This window comes from Homo sapiens, chromosome 10, assembly GCF_000001405.40.
Source record: "Homo sapiens chromosome 10, GRCh38.p14 Primary Assembly".
NCBI classification, from domain to species: domain Eukaryota; kingdom Metazoa; phylum Chordata; class Mammalia; order Primates; family Hominidae; genus Homo; species Homo sapiens.
In genome coordinates, this window is record NC_000010.11 from 109,203,843 (window position 1) to 109,225,958 (window position 22,116).

Consider the following 22,116-nt stretch of genomic DNA (forward strand, 5'->3'; position numbering starts at 1 on the left):
AATTTCTCCAAAACATCTGTAAAAGTAATAAACCAATTATAGGAGCCATCTGGAACACAGCATAGAAGATTATTTTTTAAATTTTACTCTGAATAACTGGCACTGTCATAGATAACATATAACAAGAATCAAGATATTAAGAAAGCCATTATCACTAAGGGAAGGATGACAGAGACTTGTTTAAAGAAATTGTGATTGCTCTTTACCAAGTAAGGTGGAATCACATGACGATCCACTGCTGAAACAGGCTGAGCGTCCATCTTCACTCCTTCCTGAGTCTTAAGTCAGGACTCTCAGCTCATTCTTTATGGGAAGCAGGTCAGTAATGGATAGCTTATGACTATTCAGACACCCTCAGCAAATTACTCATGCTCTTAGGATACAGGACTCATTAATAAAAATAGTGACTTTTTACCACAAACCAATCCCACATGAGCACAGAATATTGAAGAAACACAACAAGAAGAAGGTTTCAAGGCTCAAACAACCCATCCCAGTTCCAACACAAACTTCACCTACCCAATGGCATAGCTGATCCAGAAAAGACAACTAGATACAGAGCCCCCCGGCTCTGATCCAGAAAAGACAACTAGACACATCATCCCCCCGAAGTGGAGAAAAGAAAACAAATGTAAAACCCACAACCCAGAATCTGTCCCCTTTAATCCCAGGACCTGCTCTACCTGTCTACTCTGTCTAGCTTCAATCAAGTCACAATGGAATTGGGTGGTTTAGTGCAAGGTTTTTAGAGTCTGGCAGCCCTGTGCTGAATCTCATGTATGCTATTTTGTAGATTCCAAATCACTGGAAAGCATGTTAACTCTCTAGGCCTCAGTTTTCTCATCTGTAAAATGAGGATTCTTAAAGAAAAATAATCATATTTTAGGTATGAGATTATTCCTAAAAAGGCCATTAGTAAAGCAGCGGGCCAATGGTAGTTCTTACTAGGAGCTCTGTTTCTCCTCTCATCCTCCCCTCGTCTCCCTCATAAATTAACATTAGAATTATTGCTTTGTAGTTTGATTATATCATTATATCCTGATGACTGTCTAATTCCACTGAAACAAAATTGCAAATTATTCCTCCCTTGACATTTTGTCTCCAAAATAAGTAAATACACAATTATTATAAAAGTTATAAAGTAATCAATACAAAATAAGGAAGAAACAAATAATCTCTTTATTTTCCCTAGGCCACTGAGAAAATCCCAGGCCCAGCAGATGGTTCTGGCCTGACTCTGTTTCTTACATTTCATCTGGTCTTAAATAGTTATTGAATAGTCTTAAGATCAGTTTTTCTATCTATAAACTGGTGAAACAAAATGTGTTTTTCACCTTCAGGGTATTTTTTTGAGTGTTAAAAACTTATGGAAACATTCTTTGTAACTTAAAAATGTTCTTCCGTGTCCATAGTCTTTGATGCAGAAATCCTTTTCCTATTATTCTAAAAATATACTTTTAAAAAACATGAAGCTATGAATTCAAAGATATAAACTGTCTTTTAAAATAACAAATATAGCCAGGCATGGTGGCTCATGTCTGTAATCCCAGCTATTCTGGAGGCTGAGGTGAGAGGATCACTTTAGGCCAGGAGTTCAAGACAAGCCTGGGCAATGTAGTGAGACCCCACCTCTAAAAAAAAAAAAAGAAAAAAATAGAAAAAAATTAACCAGACATTGTAGCAAATGCCTGTAGACCCAGCTGCTTGGGAGGCTGAGGCTGGAAGATTACCTGAGTCCAGGAATTTGAGGCTGCAATGAGTTATGATCACACCATTGTACTCCAGCTTGGGAGACAGAGTGAGACTCTATCTCTAGGAGAAAAAAAAAGATTTTATAAAAGTAATAAGTAATTATAATAAAAAAGTTTGATAATTTATTTAATATCTTAATTTATTTTAGATAAGCATAATGAAATATATAACCAAGAAAAGCATATTTTGTGTTCTCTATGAATAAAGGCTCATGATTAAAATGTTAGATTAAAAAGGAGGCACAAAGGTATTACTCTTCAAAAATAATAAAATGTTATGTAAATGGGCAAATATTAATAAGGCATACTTAAAAAAGAAAGTTATATTAGTCATAAGATTTTTTTGCTATAAAAGTGAAGGACAAAATTAAATTTTAAAAGCGTTGTTATTTAAAAATGTTATGTGTGCATGACTGATTGAATCATTAGCCATGTGACTCAATCTCCAGTCATACCTTCCCTGCGACCAGACTGATATCACATGACTCAAAGACCCAGCATTCTAATCACATAGTTGATCTTTATGGCATGATCTGAGTCATATTGTTAGCATGAATGAAGTAATGTGGTCTCAGGGGGCCACCATAAATAACAAAGACCCTGCTATGACTTGGGAACTTTCAAGAATTTAGAGGTTACCTCCCAAGAACCACAGATAAAGGCAAACTGAATTATTTTTTATAGAAGACCTTGACTTAAAATCGCAAAGTTGGCAGAATTGCAGTCCCTGATATATCTCCCTGTAAATCTGATGCTCTTTCTACTGAAATAGTCAATGACAAATTTTGCTGTCATCAGACTCACTTGAGAAACTTTTTAAAAAGTACAAGTTGTTGTACCTTACTCTTAGAGACAGGGACTCAGCTAAGGCCTGAGCATTAGCAGCTTTTAAAGCCCTACATGATTTTAATGCTCAGCCCAGGAGAAAAAGCACTGCACTCAACTAGAATGACATTATGTAGCCCAAACTCTAAAAATGATGCATATCCCTCAGAAAGAATATTCAGTAGGTTACAATTTATAGCTGGCAACTTGGAATATGAACACTTCCTAACAAAAATGTTTCCCACCTAAAAAGACAAGTAATAAGCAACTTGATTCAACTTCACAAGATGAGATCTACCCTGTCATCAGACTCTCATATCAACAATATTTGCAAGTAACAGTAACAGTACATACATATTACACATTTTAGCTCACAATGGGTTTTTATATCCACCACATTGCTTAAGAATCACAACAAAACATAGGTATTTTATGAGAAAATGAGACAACTCGGTCCTAGAATTATCCACATGTCTTACCCAAGATCACACAGCAAATTAGTGTCTCAGTCCAGTACTCATTTGATTATTCTACTCTAATTGCTCCAATGGCATTGTAACTTTGTGGCACCTCTTCAAAATGAAATGAAAGATGGAGAATTCACAGATAACTAATTGAACAAGATAAAAAAATAGATATAATCACTTTCCTATGAAGCATTCCTAAAGCTCCTATGAGAAATACCACCCAACCAGCATTGCCATAGTTATCCTTCCAAATAAAACATTTATATTCAAAATGCATGCTTATTAGCTTTTTTTTGAAATACAGATAACAATATTTCTTCCTGAACTGCTTGCTAAGCACATTAACATGCATTTTATCCAAATGTAGTGAATAATACACTTAGACCATCATCAGGGGAAATCATCATTAAAATTCATTCAAGTGCAAGAAAACAATTAGCCAATAGCTTTTTGACCAACCTGCACTATTTGGTCTAGGCTCCCAGTATGTCCTTTCAGAATAAACAACTTCAGGGAGGCAACTACACAGATTACAGGGCACAGTGAGAAATCAAAGTGCCTGGAAGCGTTATCAAGGAACAACAGATGTTTGCTTGTGAGCTGGGGTCATTGGCTTTAACTCACAGAGGAAAATGATCTTTAGAAATTAGGCAAGCCTAGTGTTATCAGTCACTCTTGTGGAATCTTTGCACACTGGAAAACCACCCAGGTGTGAAAGCCATCTCCATTCTGTGTGAGATGGCTGGGAGGGACTGGCTCATTCCTCTTTGTGGCCTTTTGTTGGTAACTTGCTCTTTCTAAAACTCTTCTGAAAAATAGGGATGTAGTACAGGGATACTCAAGTAGTCTTTTGCACTGGGAAATGTGGGCACTGGTAATTCAAGAGGGAGAAGGAGAGAATAAAATGTTCCTAAATTTTTGAGATGGCTTTTTCAACATTTAAAAACAATGAAATTTTTAAGAGAAATTGTTTTTGTTTTTTTGTTTTTTTTGAGACAGAGTCTCGCTCTCGCCCAGGCTGGAGTGCAGTGCCGCGATCTTGGTTCACTGCAAGCTCCGCCTCCCGGGTTCACACCATTCTCCTGCCTCAGCCTCTTGAGTAGCTGGGACTACAGGAGCCTACCACCACGCCCGCCTAAATTTTTTTTTTTTTTTTTTTTTTTTGTATTTTTAGTAGAGACGGGATTTCACCATGTTAGCCAGGATGATCTCAATCTCCTGACTTCGTGATCCGCCCGCCTCGGCTTCCCAAAGTGCTGGGATAACAGGCGTGAGCCACCGCGCCCGGTCAAGAGAAGTTTTAAGTCTCCTAAAACATTAATGATAAACTGCATTTTATTCTTCAAAACAATTGTATGTTTTATTCTTCAAACTAAGTATTTATGGCAAATACACAGATATGGGTTCAAATCCTTGTAGCTACTTACTTGTGTGTGTGTGTGTTTGCATATACATTTTAAAATTAGATTCTTTTCTTTTTAGTAAAAGCTAAAAGCAAGTAAGTAGAAAAGAATATTGGGACATCTCACCAACTGGAGGCTGCAGTATTAAGGTGTCTCAGTTCTTCTTGGTGGGCTCAGTGGAGCTTATGTAAAAGAGGCATGCCTGCATGCTCATCTCCTTGAGGATAGTCTTGTTGAGTTAACAGGTTGAGGTAAGCCTTGCTAAATTTACCACTAGAGGCTCACACACCCAAAAGTGGTAAACAGACCACTCCAGCTCCCTGGAACATTGCCAGTTCCATGGATTTGTGTGACACTCAAGCTGTGATAGATGCATCAACATTGTCTATACCTCTGTTCATGTATTATTTACTTAAGCTAATGTGGATAAGCTTGATCATTTGCATTCACTCTGACAACTCAAACAAACGCTTGTCCATAACCACTGCCAATCTGCAATATATGAATGTTTTGACAGTGTTATAAAATTCCCAAAAGAAACAATATAATTGGTCTAGCTGGGGCAAAAATATCTTCTTTATTCCAATCCACAATTACCATATATGACAACGTAGAACACAAATATAGTTGGTGCCCTGTCCTTCCTTGGCCTTTCCAAGGACCTGGGGTCATCAGGACTTGGGCAGGTATCTTAGAAAACCTTGACTACAATTAATAACTTTTTCTCCCTGTGCCAGTTTCTTCATAGAAATGGAGACAATCACACCTATTTTCTACCATATCTACTTTATTATATTTTCATAGTGTCCTAATCTGCTGTACATTTTATTTACTTATTAATATAAATATTCTATGTTTTTCTCCAATGGAATGTAAGCTTTGTGAGAGGACAGGTGCTTGATTTCTTTACCGCTAAATCCCCAGTGTCTTACAAAATGTTTGGCACAAAGTAGATTCTCTATAAATATGTATTGAAAGGTTATGAAGTGATTTAGTGTTGTAAGGATGAAATGAGATAAGCTAAGCAAAGTATCTGTGATTATGTAAGATGAGCAATAAATAGTGGCTATTAATGTTCTTGTATTTAACGTTTTCAAAATATCATATTCCATTACAAAATAGCAGAAACAGTTAACACTTAAAGATCTATTAGGTACCATGCACTGTTCTAAGCATGTTACATGAATTAACACATTTAGTTCTCACCACAGCCTTATGAGGTAAGTAGGTAGAATGTTATCTTCATTTTCTAAGTGTGGAAACTTCAGTTATGCAATTTGCCCAAGGTCACTCAACTACCAGGTGGCAGTGCTGGGATTCACATTAGGCAGTGTATATTTAGATCCATGATGCTTTCCCAAAGCCAAGACTGCAGAAAGTAGATGGACAAGGGGTAGACAAGACTGAATGGGTAAATTTTTGTTTTGTTTTTGTTTGACATTAGTTTTTTGTTTTTGTTTAAGATGAGTCTTGCTCTGTTGCCCAGGATGGAGTGCAGTGACATGATCTCGGCTCAATATAACCTCTACCTCCCAGGTTCAAGTGATTCTCCTCCCTCAGCCTCCTGAGCAGCTGGGACTACAGGTGCATGCCACCACATCCAGCTAATTTTTGTATTTTTAGTACAGACAGGGTTTCACCATATTGGCCAGGCTGGTCTCGAACTCCTCACCTCGTGATCCACCCGCCTCAGCCTCCCAAAGTGCTGGGATTACAGATGTGAGCCACCGCGCCCAGCCTTGGGTGAAATTTTTAGGATTAAAACAGGTGGGATCCTGTACCCAAAATAACAGCAATAAAAAGGCAACAACAAAACATGGTAAAGGGAACATCAGAATATACTCTATGGAAGAAAAAAGATTCAAAGAACGTTATGTATTTCTACTGCTATGGTTGAATAAAAAAATAAAAAACAAGATTTAGAAGATTATATGTATATAATGTGATCCCATTTAAAAAACAGAATTTTGAAAGGTTCATTAACATTATTTTAATTTGAAAGACCCACAATTCCATTAAAGTCCAGTTCAGTTTTATATGTTATTTTTGTTAGTATCAACTTCCTGTAGGAATTCCAATTCAACTATCTAAGCCAATATATTGAAATCTTGTATCCTCACAGATAATGAATAAGAATCAAATAGGCTGATTATTATACAAGGGGACTGGTGGGAACTGTAGAAAACTGAAAAATGTACACCCATAAGGGCTTTTTAGCTACAGGTGATCATTACAGGAATTCAAGGTCACTAGTGCCAGATCTCCCACTTTTCAAAATATGATAATAATCTGTACTTGTAATGAAGCTGATTTTAAATAAAAGTAACTAAATAAATTTAAATAAAAGTAAGTAATTAATATGACACAAATACTACATGAGCTAGAAGAAAAAAGCTATCAGGCAAATTTATTCAACTTTGTTTAGTTTTTTGCTCCAATGAGTCAGACTCCTTGAGAACAGAAAAGTATCTTCTACTTCAACTTTCCCTAGTCTCCACCGCCATGTGGGGCTCACTGCAGGCCCCCAGGAAAACTCACAGACCTGACAAGTCACAGATTGGCTGTCCCCAAGCTAAAACAAGACAGAGCCATGATAGCTACCAAAAGTGAATAAATTATGCCTCATCCTTGCATTCTGCCTTTAGCAGTGGGACCAGTTGTAATCTGACCACTGAGCAGAAGATTATTTTGTCCCCATACTCCACTCTGCCTGATCCTCCATAGCTATAAGACATGATTATCTACTTGACCACACTCAAACTGCTAAGAACCTGAAAAAACATGGCTTTCTGATAGGTGGTGTTTGTTTTTTAAAATGGTAGTAGACATTACATTGGGAGCAAAGGAACTATTTAAAATGTCTATTGGAAAAAAAAGTGGGAAACAGATTAGCTCATAAACACTGGTGAGAGCACAGATTAGGAATGGCTTAAGGGAGAGCAGTCCAGCACTACATATTAAAATGTAAAATATACACCTTCTAATGCAGTGAAGTAAAAAAATAAATCAGAATAGAACACAAGACTCTGTTCTAAAAGGATCCCTGTTCTATCATTCTAAAAGAATGATACCAGTTGTTTACAAGAGTAAGTTTAGATAGGAAAATTAGAAAAGAGAAAATGAGCACTGAGAGCTGAGGTGGCTTTAACGGGGTGACCAATAGCACAAGAAAGCAAATGCAATCAATTGAGTACAAGATTCTGGGCACTGTGAATTCAATCTTTGCAATCACGCTGAGATGTTCATTCCACAGAAGAGAAAACAAGTCTTGGAAAGTTATGATTTTCCACTGATTCTCTGGCATAAATATGACTAACTACAACAGCACATGGCAGAAATGTCAGTGAGTCTCCATGGGAGTAAGGTATTAGGCACTGCCTTTAGAATGATCCTATCTGAATTCCAAAATTGTAGTTGAATTCTGGAAAAGACCCTCAGATATTCTGACTAGCCACCCCCTCTTTCTCCTATGAGAACTCCTAAATTTTAATTAAATTAAAACTTGATCATTCTGAGTCCAATGCTAGTGTTCTTTGCATCATTAGCAGTAGACACAGGAGTTGGCAAATCATCTGACTGTACTTATGTAAACTCATCATTTCATTTCATAATGCAGATATGTATCCATTTTCATTAGTATATCCACTAACCATGGGCAAGAAAGAATAAACACAAGGGTAATTGATCATCTTATCAGGTTCAACAAACACCATATTGATGTGCTAACAGTCTCTAATGAAGACAGAAAATGTCGTAAATTATTTGATTCATGAATACATGTATTCAGCAGTTATTTATTTGGAACTTATTTCCTAGTCAGGCTGCCTGATCTCAGTATGTAGATTTGAAGATGAATGAGACATGGCCTCTCTGGCCCTAGCTGAGCTCATCAAGTAGAGATGAGGCAGAGGGAAAGTAGGAATAGAATGTTTTGGGAAAATGAAGCTATCTCTGCCAGAGGTGGCCCTGAGGGCCACACACACTTGTCATGGAGAACTTACCCTACTCTGGGATGCTGCAGCACACTCTAGCTCTTTGAAACTCCATAATTATCCTGTGAGTTAGGTACTATTTTACCTTATTTTCCAGCTCAGAAAGATTAAACGTAGACCTCAGGTTTTCTAGGGCCACACAGCTAAAAGAATTAAAAATACACTAATTAACAATGAAACATTTATTTAAAGTCACTTTTGATCACATATCACACAAATATTTAAAAATACTTAGTCCTAAAGGAGTTTAGGAGATTATATATTACTATAATATTAAAATATCACCAGGTGCTGTTACAAACTCCCAGATTTCAGTGGCTGAGCACAATAGTTTATTTCTTACCCTGTGTAATTACTTAAATGAGTTTCTTTTTGGCCAGTAACTTCCATGAAGCTCAGACTTCAATATTATGAGTCTACCCTCAGATTCTAAGTGTTCTCTCATAATCATATACATCCTGAGAGGATTTGAATATTCATGTGAGACAAAATAATGGGCGAGTCCTGGGAATAAATAACACATTCTACTTCTTCCCCCTTTCCATTGGGCAGAACTTAGCCACATGGCCACATCTAATAGCAGTCAGTCTGCAACATGCAGATGAACTATGCGCCTAAGTGGTAGAAGAAATATATTTAATTCATTGTGATGAACACATAAAAGTTTCTGCCATCATAAAGTTATATATAATATATATACACATATATTTATGTATTTGTATAAATACATGTATACCTATATAAGTATTATACATACATTTATATACATGTATATGTGTGTATATATGTATATATACATCAACATAAAGTAGCTGTATGACCTATATGATTTCCAAGTCATTATTACTTTTTCCTCAGCTTTTTCCTCACAAAGATGTAGAAAAGATAAAATTAACTCCCATACCTACGTACCACATTTGTGTGGGGTTACTTAGTCCAAACCATGGCTAGTGTCCACAGTGAGGAAACGATTTTGTCAAGCATGTGTCTTTCATTTCTCTATTCCAAAAGTGTAATATAGAAATTTCTTTATTTATATTGGTAGTGATCCTGTTTGACTTATAGTTCTGCCCAAAAATCTGTTAATTGAGCTCTTGAACATGAATGCAAATCAGTGTGTGGACCAGAAATTAATTACCATAATTCAGGGCCAGTCGTAAGCTCAATATGAACATTAATAACAGAAGTGAGAATGATGAAGATGGTAATGATTAATAATCATTAGAAAAATTACCTATCTCTTCTGTAATTTTATCAGAGCTTTCTTCCAGATTGTTCCAAAACTTTCCTTATATGCATCATCCTAACAAGAATGACAGGAATTAATTATGCCACTGCCTTTTGGTTTTGTTTTCTAAAAGTCCTCTGATTTGAGGCAACGTTTTTGTCATTGTTTCTCAAAACAGAAAATAGAGGAAGCTTGAGGAGAACATATGCCAGTATTTTAATTCATGCAAATATACTGTCGCTCTGAGCAGCACCATCCAGCTCCCAGACAACAAACTACTTAGTCCTTCAAAGGTGAAAATATTGAGAACTAAGTTCTTCCATAATTTGAAGTTGAGGCAAGGTATTAATATGAATTACCAATAAAAATATTGAACATTGTATTAGTCCATTTTCACACTGCTATGAAGACACACCCAAGACTGGGCAATTTATAAAGAAAAGAGGTTTAATTGACTCACAGTTCTGCACGGCTAAGCCTCAGGAAACTTATAATTATGGCAGAAGGAGAAGAGTCAAGTCTTACATGGCAGCAGGTGAGAGATAAGAGTGAGGAGTGAAGGGGGAAGAGTCCCTTATACAACTATCAGATCTCATGAGAACTCACTATCATGAGAACAGCATGGGGGAAACTGCCCCCGTGATCCAATCACCTCCCACCAGGTATCTCCCTACACACGTGGGGATTATTGGGATTACAATTCAAGATAAGATTTGTGTGGGGACACAGAGCCAAACCACATCAAACATATAAATAGAAAATTGGCAATGGCTAGAGCTGGCAACAGAAAAAGATGCAAAGTTTTTTTTCCAATTCTTATTAACTTTCTTACTATCTTCCAAGAAGAGGGAAAAAATCAAGCAACATTTAGTGAGTGCCTATTACATTCATGGTGCTGTATTGGATATTTTGCAGGAAAAAAAATAGAAGGTATTATTATCACTGTCATTATAACTGTCATTATCACCATCCTCATTATCACAGCTAATATTTATTAAGGTTTTAGGAATGATGCTAAGCGTTTTATATGTAGTAAGCACCTGATTTCCCCCTTGCTGGAATCCTGTATGGTACTATATTAACTAGGAATTTTCCAGTTACAAACTAAAGAAGCTCAACTCAAGCTGACTTAAACAGCACAGCAACAAATAATGTTACTCTACTACTGCTACTGATACTGGTGGACTAAGAGAGGCCCCCAGAAGCTGGTGGGACCTTAACCTCCCTGGTGTCCAGGCCCTTGATACTGCCCAGAGAAGGAATTAAAGGACTAGTTAGAAAATAAAGAAAGTAGGCCGGGTGTGGTGGCTCACACCTGTAATCCCAGCACTTTGGGAGGCTGAGGCAGGCAGATCAGGAGGTCAGGAGTTTGAGATAAGCCTGGCCAATACAGTGAAACCCCATCTCTATTAAAAATACAAAAATTAGCCAGGCATGGTGACACATGGCTGTAATCCCAGCTACTTGGAATGCTGAGGCAGGAGAATTTCTTGAACCCAGGAGGCAGAGGCTGCAATGAGCTGAGATTGCGCCACTGCATTCCAACCTGTGCAACAGAGCAAGACTCCATCTCAAAAAAAAAAAAAAAAGAAAAAAGAAAAAAATAGGGAGATTTATTGCAAAGTGAAAGTGTATACTTAAGAGAAGGAGTGCAGACATACTCAAGAGAGCGCATCTCGCTCAGAGTTTGGGGCTTCTATCTATTGGTTTCTTTAACCAAGAGGTGGAATATTCATGAAGATTTCTGGAAGAAGGTGAAGATTTCTCAGAACTGTGGTGCCACCCATTTTTACACCAAATGTAGATGTTCCCAGAACTGTCATGGCACTACTGAGTGTGTGATCTGGTATGTTAATGGGCATATAACAAGGTCCTAGGGGAAACCTAGGTCAAATCCAGTGCTATGTTGGGTCCAGTCAGTCTTAGCTAGCTTGGCCCACATCCTGTTTCTCATGGTCTTATCCACCCTGAGCTTATACAACTATTTCAACAGTTTCCCTTTGCTAGTGATGTGGAACTGCTGCCTGGGCATTTCTATTCTCCTGTGACCATCCTGTATGATTCCTATCTCATTACTAGTGCTAATAATGACAATGCTAAAGTAAATTGGGGATTTAACAGTTCAAGAAAATGGGAAGAGTGGCTCTTGATGCAGTATTATATCGGGCTTGTTTGCTATGTCTCCCCCTGCCACTCCACAACTTTTCTTAACTCACTGGCCACAATCTCACCTTCCATGGATATGTGTTCTACTTGTGGCAGGAAAGATGGATACCTGCAATTTGAAGAGGCAGTTGGCCCTGCTTTCTCCAGCAAAGAAATCCTAAGGAACATCTCTAATTATTCTGTCTTGAGTTACAAGTTTATCCTTTAACCGATGGCTGTAACCACAGGAATAAAGCTCTTCACTGAACAATCTTGAGTCAACATGCTCAGTCCTCAGATCCAAGGAGCGGGGATTCTGTATTAGTTGTTTTGAATTATGGAGGGTTTAAATAAAACATATCAAAGTCCACTAGAGGTAAGTATACCATCTTACCATTTAACAGATAAAGGAAAAAAAAGCTTAGATTGGTTAAGTAATTTAATGAAGGTCATCCAAGTACACGTGGCAAAGCAGGATTTTATTCCAGGTCTATCTCCAGCATTAATTTTAAAATCCATGTTCTTAAAAACAACTAAGCCATACCACTTACCTAGTTTAGGCCTTGGAGCTGTTTACGACCTATAGGAAGGACTATTACCATTACGGTATAAATTCATCACTCATTCCCTGCAGCCTGGAAACAGAACTAGAATTATCAGTACATGGGAAGTTTTCTTGGATTGCTTTTGTTGTTACATAAAAGGATCTGCTCCTGGCTTTGAACAGTACAGAACACATTTACTGGCTCATTTTTTGCATGTTTCTTACTCATTGCAAAATCAAAAGTCTATAATGTAGCACTGGTCATTAGGATCATAGTGATGAAAGAGAATTGTGCTAAAATACATAAAAAACAAAGAAAAATAAACAAGTACTTCAATCATAACTGGTAGCTTAGAACAAGAAAATTATATTATTAGCCATGGGGAAGATTTTATTTTAGACCTGCTTTGTGGAGTTGGTGATATTCCAGGGTCTATTTGCAGCGATGGCTACTTATTTGACAGTTTCCTAACTGCCCTGGATTTGATGGTAAGAGACCTATGGCTGGATTTGGAGTGCCTTCATTGTTGCCCTTTTCAAATGTTTACTCAAAATTATTCCCTCCCTACTTGCAAAGAAGGATCTGAAGTGCTTTAAGGTACCGTCTCCTGTACCAAGGCTGTGTTTTTCCACTGAACCAGGCAGAAAAGAGAAAGAGCTAGTTTGTTCATCCCACCCAGTGCAGCTATGGGGTTTGGGGGTGGAGGTGGGGCAGGGAGCAGAAATAAGAGAATTATCAGTGCTGTTACGACACTAAAAATTCATTGCAGGTAATTGCTGAGTCTCTTGCTTATTATCAATCCTTTCAAAACTACACTAATACTTGGCATATACTCAACCCAGTGCTCTCAGGATCACCTGAGAATCTTCTTTGAAAAGCTACTTCCTAGACCTCACCTCCAAGAATGAGTCAATGGGCCTGGGATGAACAATATTAACCAACTGATTAATATCCTGCATATAATGTGTGGATCAATCCGTATCACTTGTTCCTTTTTTCCCACTGACATCTACTTCCACCTCACTCCCCTACTCCCATTTTAATTATTTCCTATTCATCCTATTGGTGAGGGAGTGATGTCCAGAGCTTCTGCTTTATAGAAAAAAGGAGAGACTATAAGAGATCAATCTCACATAATTCAGCTGTGTGAGAGAAGCTGGCCCAAGAATGTGTGTGTACAAATGTGTGTGTGTGCGCTTGTACAATAAAACTCCAGGAAAATAAATTATCTCTTCCAAGCAAAGTTCAAGATGAGATTATGCTAATCAAAAAATTGGTAAACATGAAGCCTTGATAATTAACTCCCCCTTCCTTCCACTACCCCATATATATATAAATATATATAAATATATATGCATACACACCCACCTCACTTTTACATTATATTTTATATTTTATGTTATATATATAACATATATATAAAAGTAAGGTGGCAGACAGGGTCAACATGAGTTCCTCAAGTCATATAAATTAATTCAGTCAATTCCACCTTATTCTGATGTAGATCCTTCAGTCTCTCTCCAACACATTCTTTCCCTGCCTTCTCCTTGGAAGCAATTTTCAAATTAACCCTATGAAGTCTGGCCAGGACTGGGGCAGTTACATCTCCAGGTGGATGGAAATGCCAGTGGCACTTTGTGCACAGACTACAGCCATTAAAAATGAGTGGTGTAATCCCAGCGCTTTGGGAGGCCAAGGTGGGTGGATCACGAAGTCAAGAGATCAAGACCTCCTGACCAACATGGTGAAACCCTGTCTCTACTAAAAAGTATAAAGAATAGCTGGGTCTAGTAGCACACGCCTGTAGTCCCAGCTACTCAGGAGGCTGAGGCAGGAGAATTGCTTGAACTCGGGAGGTGGAGGTTGCAGTGAGCCAAGTTTGTGCCACTACACTCCAGCCTGGGTGACAGAGACTCCATCTCAAGCAAACAAACAAAAAAATGAGTGGTGTTAAGCTATCAGAATAAAAAAAAATATTTCATACATTTCCATTTTAATCTTTATGTAAATTTAGCCAGTCTACTTTAAAAATGGATTATTTGTGAATGTTTATGTTTATGCCACCTCTCTGTGAGAGATTTCTGCCTTTAATTAATGGTTTCAAAGCAACATTTTTACATTTTATAAAACCAGGTGATTGAGAAAATAAATACATACCCACTTCCTATTTGAGGACAAACAAAACCACTAAACCACATCTGAGCTAATAAAGAATAGAGTAAGGTTGACCTGAAAGCTGCTGACTATTCATTTATATTCGAAGGCCATTTGAGAATCTGAAGAAATATCTTCCAAACGCACAATTTTCTAACTACTAAGTTCTCAATCAATATGAAATATAAAAGACTAGTAATTACTGAAATTTTGCATTATTTAGACAGATTTATATTAACAAAAAATGAAAAAAATATGTTTATTCTTCTTATCCTCAGGTGTAGTGCATTGATGAAGGCGTAATACACTTCCTCATAGACTTCTTATGTGTATTTCCTCGGAGAAGAATTTATCTAGAGGAGTAGTTAAGGTAACACTAGTTTTGTAACAAAAAACCCCCATGGTTCTGTGACTTAAGATATTAGTTTACCTCTTGTTCATATAACAAACCACACTTTTTCATGCTTTTCAATAATCCTAAATTCCTTCCATCTTGTGGAAACACCAGCCTTGAAGCCTAGTTCGGGTCCACAGCCAGTGAGTCAAAGGGAGGAGAGTGTGGAAAAGGATAGAACCACTTCCTAAAAGCTTTGGCCACACCCACATTCTAACAGCCAAAACCATACATTCCCCTGACTGGAAATGTGCTTATAGGATGGGCAGCCAAGCCCCAGCATAAAGGCTCTACTTTTCAAGGAGAATACACATTGTAGTGGATATATCTGAAAAGATATCTGTATAGAAAGGATCATAATACATTATCTAATATAGTGTCCCAGACCTGCTTAAGGACCAGCATTACCAGATCCTGGGGAGTTTACTTAAATAGGGATTCTCTGCTGCTCCTCAGAAAATTAGATATAACTCCCTGACAACTTCACTGCCATTCCCACTGGATGGGATCCCGTGCAGTCTTTGTAATTATACTTAGGTTACAACCAGTAAAACTATTGTCGTTGGGGAAGATTGAAAGGAAATCAAAATAGTACTTGGGTTTGGGTCATTTTCTTTTCTATTTACCGGTGTTCTGTATTTTTCTATACATTATTTAAATATGCATAACTTGGGGCATTCTTTCTTCTGTTGAGCCAAAGATCCAGTTTCTGATATCAGGAGTTGTATATTTCTTTGAAGTCCAAATAACCTTCTTTTGTAATACCTTGAGGAAGGCTCAGTACATATAGGGCATCTAGTTAACTTAATGAGTGATGCAGAAAGAGAAAACAGGAGAAATTGAGGGAAAAAATGTGCTTGAAATCCAAGAATACATAAGTCAATGATTTTAGGGGGAGTTAATAGAAAATCTGCCACAAGCCTAGAAATAATTTCTTCCTTTGTTTCTTCCTCTTATATCCATTTCTCCATTATCATAATTGTTATTATCATTAACCTCATCATCACAATGATCATATTATCTAGTCCTTAAAAAATATGATAAAATAAGGTCTGCCCATCCATATCAATTATGGTTTTTTCCTTATAAAGCAACAAGAATCTCTAAATCAGAGCAAATTAAGCAAATGCTTAAACTCAAGGCTAAATTAATATTAGTCAAAAACTTAGAGTGTATGGAGAAAATTCTGTGATCTCATTGATAAAAAATTTTCATGTCTTGAAAAGTGGGTAGATAGGTAAGTATAGTAAGTAGATAGGTAAGTGGATTAGACAAGAAAATAGAGCAGTTAAGTAATCAGACAAAGTAAGGAGGTAGGCAGGCAACACAAAATTTCCCCAAGTCACCACTTTCAGTTCTCAGCTTCTCAAACTCACAAGTAATAGAAATAATGATCTCAGAGGACAAAGTGTGAGACAAGCTTATCTTGCGACTAGGTGGGGTTTTGGAACCTGAACTCAAGCTAACCCTAATAGGAGGCAGAGGGAATTACATCAGTAACTGTACACTGTCCACAAATTGAAAACATTTTCAGTGGCATGCCCTTGTCACTCAGTGTATTTTGAATGCTCATCCCCTTAATCCATAATTACCCATCACTATGTGATACCCTTGATTCCAAATAGTAATTCCATTAGCTCCTAGAGAATCCACTATTCAACTCCTGGGAGCCCTCTTGCCAAATGAGATGCCAAGCTGTTTGGGAACAGAGCTCAGCAGCAGCCAGAAAAAAGGGCAGACATCAATCAGTTCAATTGACGTGCTTCTCACTGGCTCTGGGCAACCTCAATTTTGCTGCTAAAATCTTATTTCAAATGATCCCAGAAAGATCAATGCTAAATGTAGTAATTACTCTTGGATACATGAATAATGGCCCTAATTTTTTACCTGTATGTATACATTATATACCATCAGGGTTTTTTGCTTTTGTTATTATTTATTTAAAAAACATAGGCCCACCTCATATGCTATTACAATTTTTTAAAGAAATGTATGAAAAATGTATGGAGAAAATAATTTAGCTATCTTATAAACAATTTTTATATTTTGAAAAGCAGGTAGATAGGTAAGCATGGTAAGTAGATAGGCAAGCAGGTTAAACAAGAAAACAAGTAGAGCAGTTAAGAGAAAAAACGTCTAATGTAAAGCAAAGTTTTTCTATTATCAGTAAAAAGATGTCTTCAGATGCTGTTTAAAACATTTACTGGGAGGCCGAGGTGGGCAGATCACGAGGTCAAGAGTTCGAGACCATCCTGGCTAACACAGTGAAACCCCTCTCCACTAAAAATACAAAAATTAGCCAGGCATGGTGGTAGGCACCTGTAGTCCCAGCTACTCAGGGGCCTGAGGCAGAAGAATCGCTTGAACCTGGGAGGCAGAGGTGCATGCAGTGAGCCAAGATCACGCCGCTGCACTCCAGCCTGGGCCAGAGTGAGACTCCGTCTCAAAAAAAAAAAAGAAAGAAAGAAAGAAAAAAAGAAAAACAAACATTTAAAGAGGAATTTTCTCCCCTGGAGGTATGCAAAATCTGAGTTTACAGATTTGGAGAAAGACAACATGAAGTGGCAAGTATCAAAAACAAAAGAATTTAAAATGTGTAGCAGTTAGAATGTGCAAGTCTGTGGTATCCAAAATTATGCTCCCCTAAAGATGTCCACATCCCAATTCCTTGAACATCAGAACAAATATTACAAGTTGTCTATGTAACACTAATATCCTGCTCACTACACTTTCAGAGTTTAGTCAATGCCTTTCTCTTGATTCCCTGGGGAGGCAGACAAGCATCTGATCAGGTGTTTAATATGTATCTAAAGGGATATCTGATAGCCTAGCTCACCACTAATTGTATTACATATAAAAATCGTTTGTGTTTATTCTTCCCTCTCAATCAGACCAAACAAGGTACAAATTAGGCTGGAATGAGTAAACAGTCTTACATTTTGTCAGTTAAAGAGCCTCTGACAGAAACTGATGAGATTAACAAAGCAGAGGCAAAACTGAAAATTAAGCAGCTGGCATCTTGAATAGCAACAGGGAAAAATGTTTGGTAAAATTTAGAGAGATTATGAAAAGTGGATGCAGCCGATTTGAGCTGTGTTTATTTCAATGGATGCTTTCTATTTAAGTGACTGAGTAACTTTACACAGATCTCTTGCCAGTTCTCAACTCTGCAAACAGCATTTAAGAAAAGAAAAAGTCATTGAGTTAAAGGAGCTCTGAAATTATGTCCCATAATTGGTCTCTCCTTTCAAAACCCTTCCCCGCACTCCCTATTTTTCACAATTCACCTTTCTAGAATACTCAACCCCTAGCTATGCCAGCATCTAGAAACAAGGACACACTGTCACATTTCTCTGGGGCTCAGTACTATACACCCCCATACCTCGTAGCTGATATGCTGATACACAGAAAATGTTACCTTTGAATCTTCCAACTGCATTTTTCAAAGATGTTCTTTACTGCTGTTAAGACATCAAAATCAAGACAGAACCATCAGACACTGGACTTTCTTACGAGAATTCCAAGGCCCTGTGTGTTTTCCACAGAAAACCTACACTTTCAAAGCCTTTGTGGGAAGGAAACATTTTTAATCCTTTGAACAAAGACAGTTCAGTCCACACTAAAGCAGCATAACCCTTCCCCAATGCTCATAAGGTTCGCCCTACAACTAAACCCCTCTACCATCAAGAAAGTCAGTGTCTCCAGCCCTCATAGCATGATCTTTTCGATCCCAAGAGCTATCAGGCTAACAGATTGGAGTTTTAGAGCTCAGACTTCACATGTGAAAATTCACATGTCCACTGTATTTCTTCAGAGACTTTGGGTTCGAAGGATTTGTCAAAATTACTTTCCCTTCTTCCTTTACACCTTGCATGGCTATGGGTTCAAAGGATTTGTCAAAATTACTTTCCCTTCTTCCTTTACCTTGCATGGCTATGGACTCTGTGGCTTATTGGAGACCACCAAATGGCTGCAGCCCCCAAGCACCTCAGGAAGGTTCGGCAGATACACATCAGAAGTGAAAAATAGAAGGAATATAAGAATCTAGCTCTTATCACCAAAGTGACCAACTTTCCCACATGATATTTAGCCTCTGAGATCAACCAAACTCTTCTATGTGTTGACCACTCAGCATAGATAACCAGTTACAAAGTGGTAGAGGTGGGGTCTGTCTGCCAAAGCCCATTTATGCCCTTCGCTGCCTCAAAAAAGAGTAAGTCTGTAGTTGGCTCTAGTAAGATATGACTTGAGATTTCTCACCCAGGAAGCCTGCACTCAGAGACTCACTGCTATTGGTCAGGCACTGATGAGAAAAATCACATCCATTAAAATATAATATTCCTTTTTCCAGAACTTAAAGCACAAAGAGGTATGTATAGTGAGAGAAGGATCACTAAAGACGAAAATAAACAGTACAACAGGGACACCAAGAGCTAACATTTCCAGCAAAAAGAAGGCCAGCCAACGGCTTCATTGGCCATTCCAAACTGTATTTCAGACATGTCCCAGACAAGGAATAACTATCAAATTATTTTCAAAGCCCAATCAAAGCAATGAGGTCAAAGTACTACCCTCACTGAAATATTAACATCACATCACTTCTTTACAGGGGTATTTTTGTTTGAAAACACATCAGGGAAAAAGATTATTTTGTTTTACATCTTGGCAATCTGAACATCCTTAACAGGAGCTCGTTATTTCCTAGAAGGCACCAGGTAACAGAAATGTCCTACAGATCCTTTCCTGTATGGAATGCCAGAGGCACTCAGTGACTGACCTGTGGTGAGTCTACATAGTAAATCACACTACAGAAGCCATTTTGCTCTCTATGCACTTTCTCAAGATGCTCAATTTTGTAGCTATGCATTAAAAATAGGGGAGGAGCCAAGATGGCCGAATAGGAACAGCTCCTGTCTACAGCTCCCAGCGTGAGCGACGCAGAAGACGGGAGATTTCTCCATTTCCATCTGAGGTACCGGGTTCATCTCACTAGGGAGTGCCAGAGGGTCAGTGGGTGTGCGCACTGTGCACGAGCGTAAGCAGGGCAAGGCATTGCCTCACTTGGGAAGTGCAAAGGGTCAGGGAGTTCCCTTTCTGAGTCAAAGAAAGGGGTGACTGACGGCACCTGGAAAATCAGGTCACTCCCACCCGAATACTGCCCTTTTCCGACAGGCTTAAAAAACGGCGCACCACGAGATTATATCCCGCACCTGGCTCGGAGGGTCCTACGCCCACGGAGTCTCGCTGATTGCTAGCACAGCAGTCTGAGATCAAACTGCAAGGTGGCAGCGAGGCTGGGGGAGGGACGCCCGCCATTGCCCAGGCTTGCTTAGGTAAACAAAGCAGCCAGGAAGCTGGAACTGGGTGGAGCCCACCACAGCTCTAGGAGGCCTGCCTGCCTCTGTAGGCTTCACCTCTGGGGGCAGGGCACAGACAAACAAAAAGACAGCAGTAACCTCTGCAGACTTAAATGTCCCTGTCTGACAGCTTTGAAGAGAGCAGTGGTTCTCCCAGCACGCAGCTGGAGATCTGAGAATGGGCAGACTGCCTCCTCAAGTGGGTCCCTGACCCCTGACCCCTGAGCAGCCTAACTGGGAGGCACCCCCCAGCAGGGGCACACTGACACCTCACACGGCAGGGTACTCCAACAGACCTGCAGCTGAGGGTCCTGTCTGTTAGAAGGAAAACTAACAAACAGAAAGGACATCCACACCAAAAACCCATCTGTACATCACCATCATCAAAGACCAAAAGTAAATAAAACCACAAAGGTGGGGAAAAAACAGAACAGAAAAACTGGAAACTCTAAAAAGCAGAGCGCCTCTCCTCCTCCAAAGTAACGCGGTTCCTCACCAGCAACAGAAAAAAGCTGGATGGAGAATGACTTTGATGAGCTGAGAGAAGAAGGCTTCAGACGATCAAATTACTCTGAGCTACGGGAGGACATTCAAACCAAAGGCAAAGAAGTTGAAAACTTTGAAAAAAATTTAGAAGAATGTATAACTAGAATAACCAATACAGAGAAGTGCTTAAAGGAGCTGATGGAGCTGAAAACCAAGGCTCGAGAACTACATGAAGAATGCAGAAGCCTCAGGAGCTGATGTGATCAACTGGAAGAAAGGGTATCAGCGATGGAAGATGAAATGAATGAAATGAAGTGAGAAGGGAAGTTTAGAGAAAAAAGAATAAAAAGAAAAGAGCAAAGCCTCCAAGAAATATGGGACTATGTGAAAAGACCAAATCTACGTCTGATTGGTGTACCTGAAAGTGATGGGGAGAATGGAACCAAGTTGGAAAACACTCTGCAGGACATTATCCAGGAGAACTTCCCCAATCTAGCAAGGCAGGCCAACGTTCAGATTCAGGAAATACAGAGAACGCAACAAAGATACTCCTCGAGAAGAGCAACTCCAAGACACATAATTGTCAGATTCACCAAAGTTGAAATGAAGGAAAAAATGTTAAGGGCAGCCAGAGAGAAAGGTCTGGTTACCCTCAAAAGGAAGCCCATCAGACTAACAGCGGATCTCTCGGCAGAAACCCTACAAGCCAGAAGAGAGTGGGGGCCAATATTCAACATTCTTAAAGAAAAGAATTTTCAACCCAGAATTTCATATCCAGCCAAACTAAGTTTCATAAGTGAAGGAGAAATAAAATACTTTACAGACAAGCAAATGCTGAGAGATTTTGTCACCACCAGGCCTGCCTTACAAGAGCTACTGAAGGAAGCACTAAACATGGAAAGGAACAACCGGTACCAGCTGCTGCAAAATCATGCCAAAATGTAAAGACCATCGAGACTAGGAAGAAACTGCATCAACTAACGAGCAAAATCACCAGCTAACATCATCATGACAGGATCAAATTCACACATAACAATATTAACTTTAAATGTAAATGGACTAAATGTTCCAATTAAAAGACACAGACTGGCAAATTGGATAAAGAGTCAAGACCCATCAGTGTGCTGTATTCAGGAAACCCATCTCACATGCAGAGACACATATAGGCTCAAAATAAAAGGATGAAGGAAGATCTACCAAGCAAACGGAAAACAAAAAAAGGCAGGGGTTGCAATCCTAGTCTCTGATAAAACAGACTTTAAACCAACAAAGATCAAAAGAGACAAAGAAGGCCATTACATAATGGTAAAGGGATCAATTCAACAAGAAGAGCTAAGTATCCTAAATATATATGCACCCAATACAGGAG

At 38.6% G+C, this 22,116-nt stretch overlaps 1 annotated feature.

The window, feature by feature from the left end:
• Positions 19,602-20,298: an enhancer, noted in NCBI's record as "OCT4-NANOG-H3K27ac-H3K4me1 hESC enhancer chr10:110983202-110983898 (GRCh37/hg19 assembly coordinates)". NCBI's record gives its function as "activates a minimal SCP1, AML or CMV promoter by ChIP-STARR-seq in naive H9 embryonic stem cells {active_cell/tissue: H9 hESC(naive)}" and the evidence as "EXISTENCE:reporter gene assay evidence [ECO:0000049][PMID:30033119]".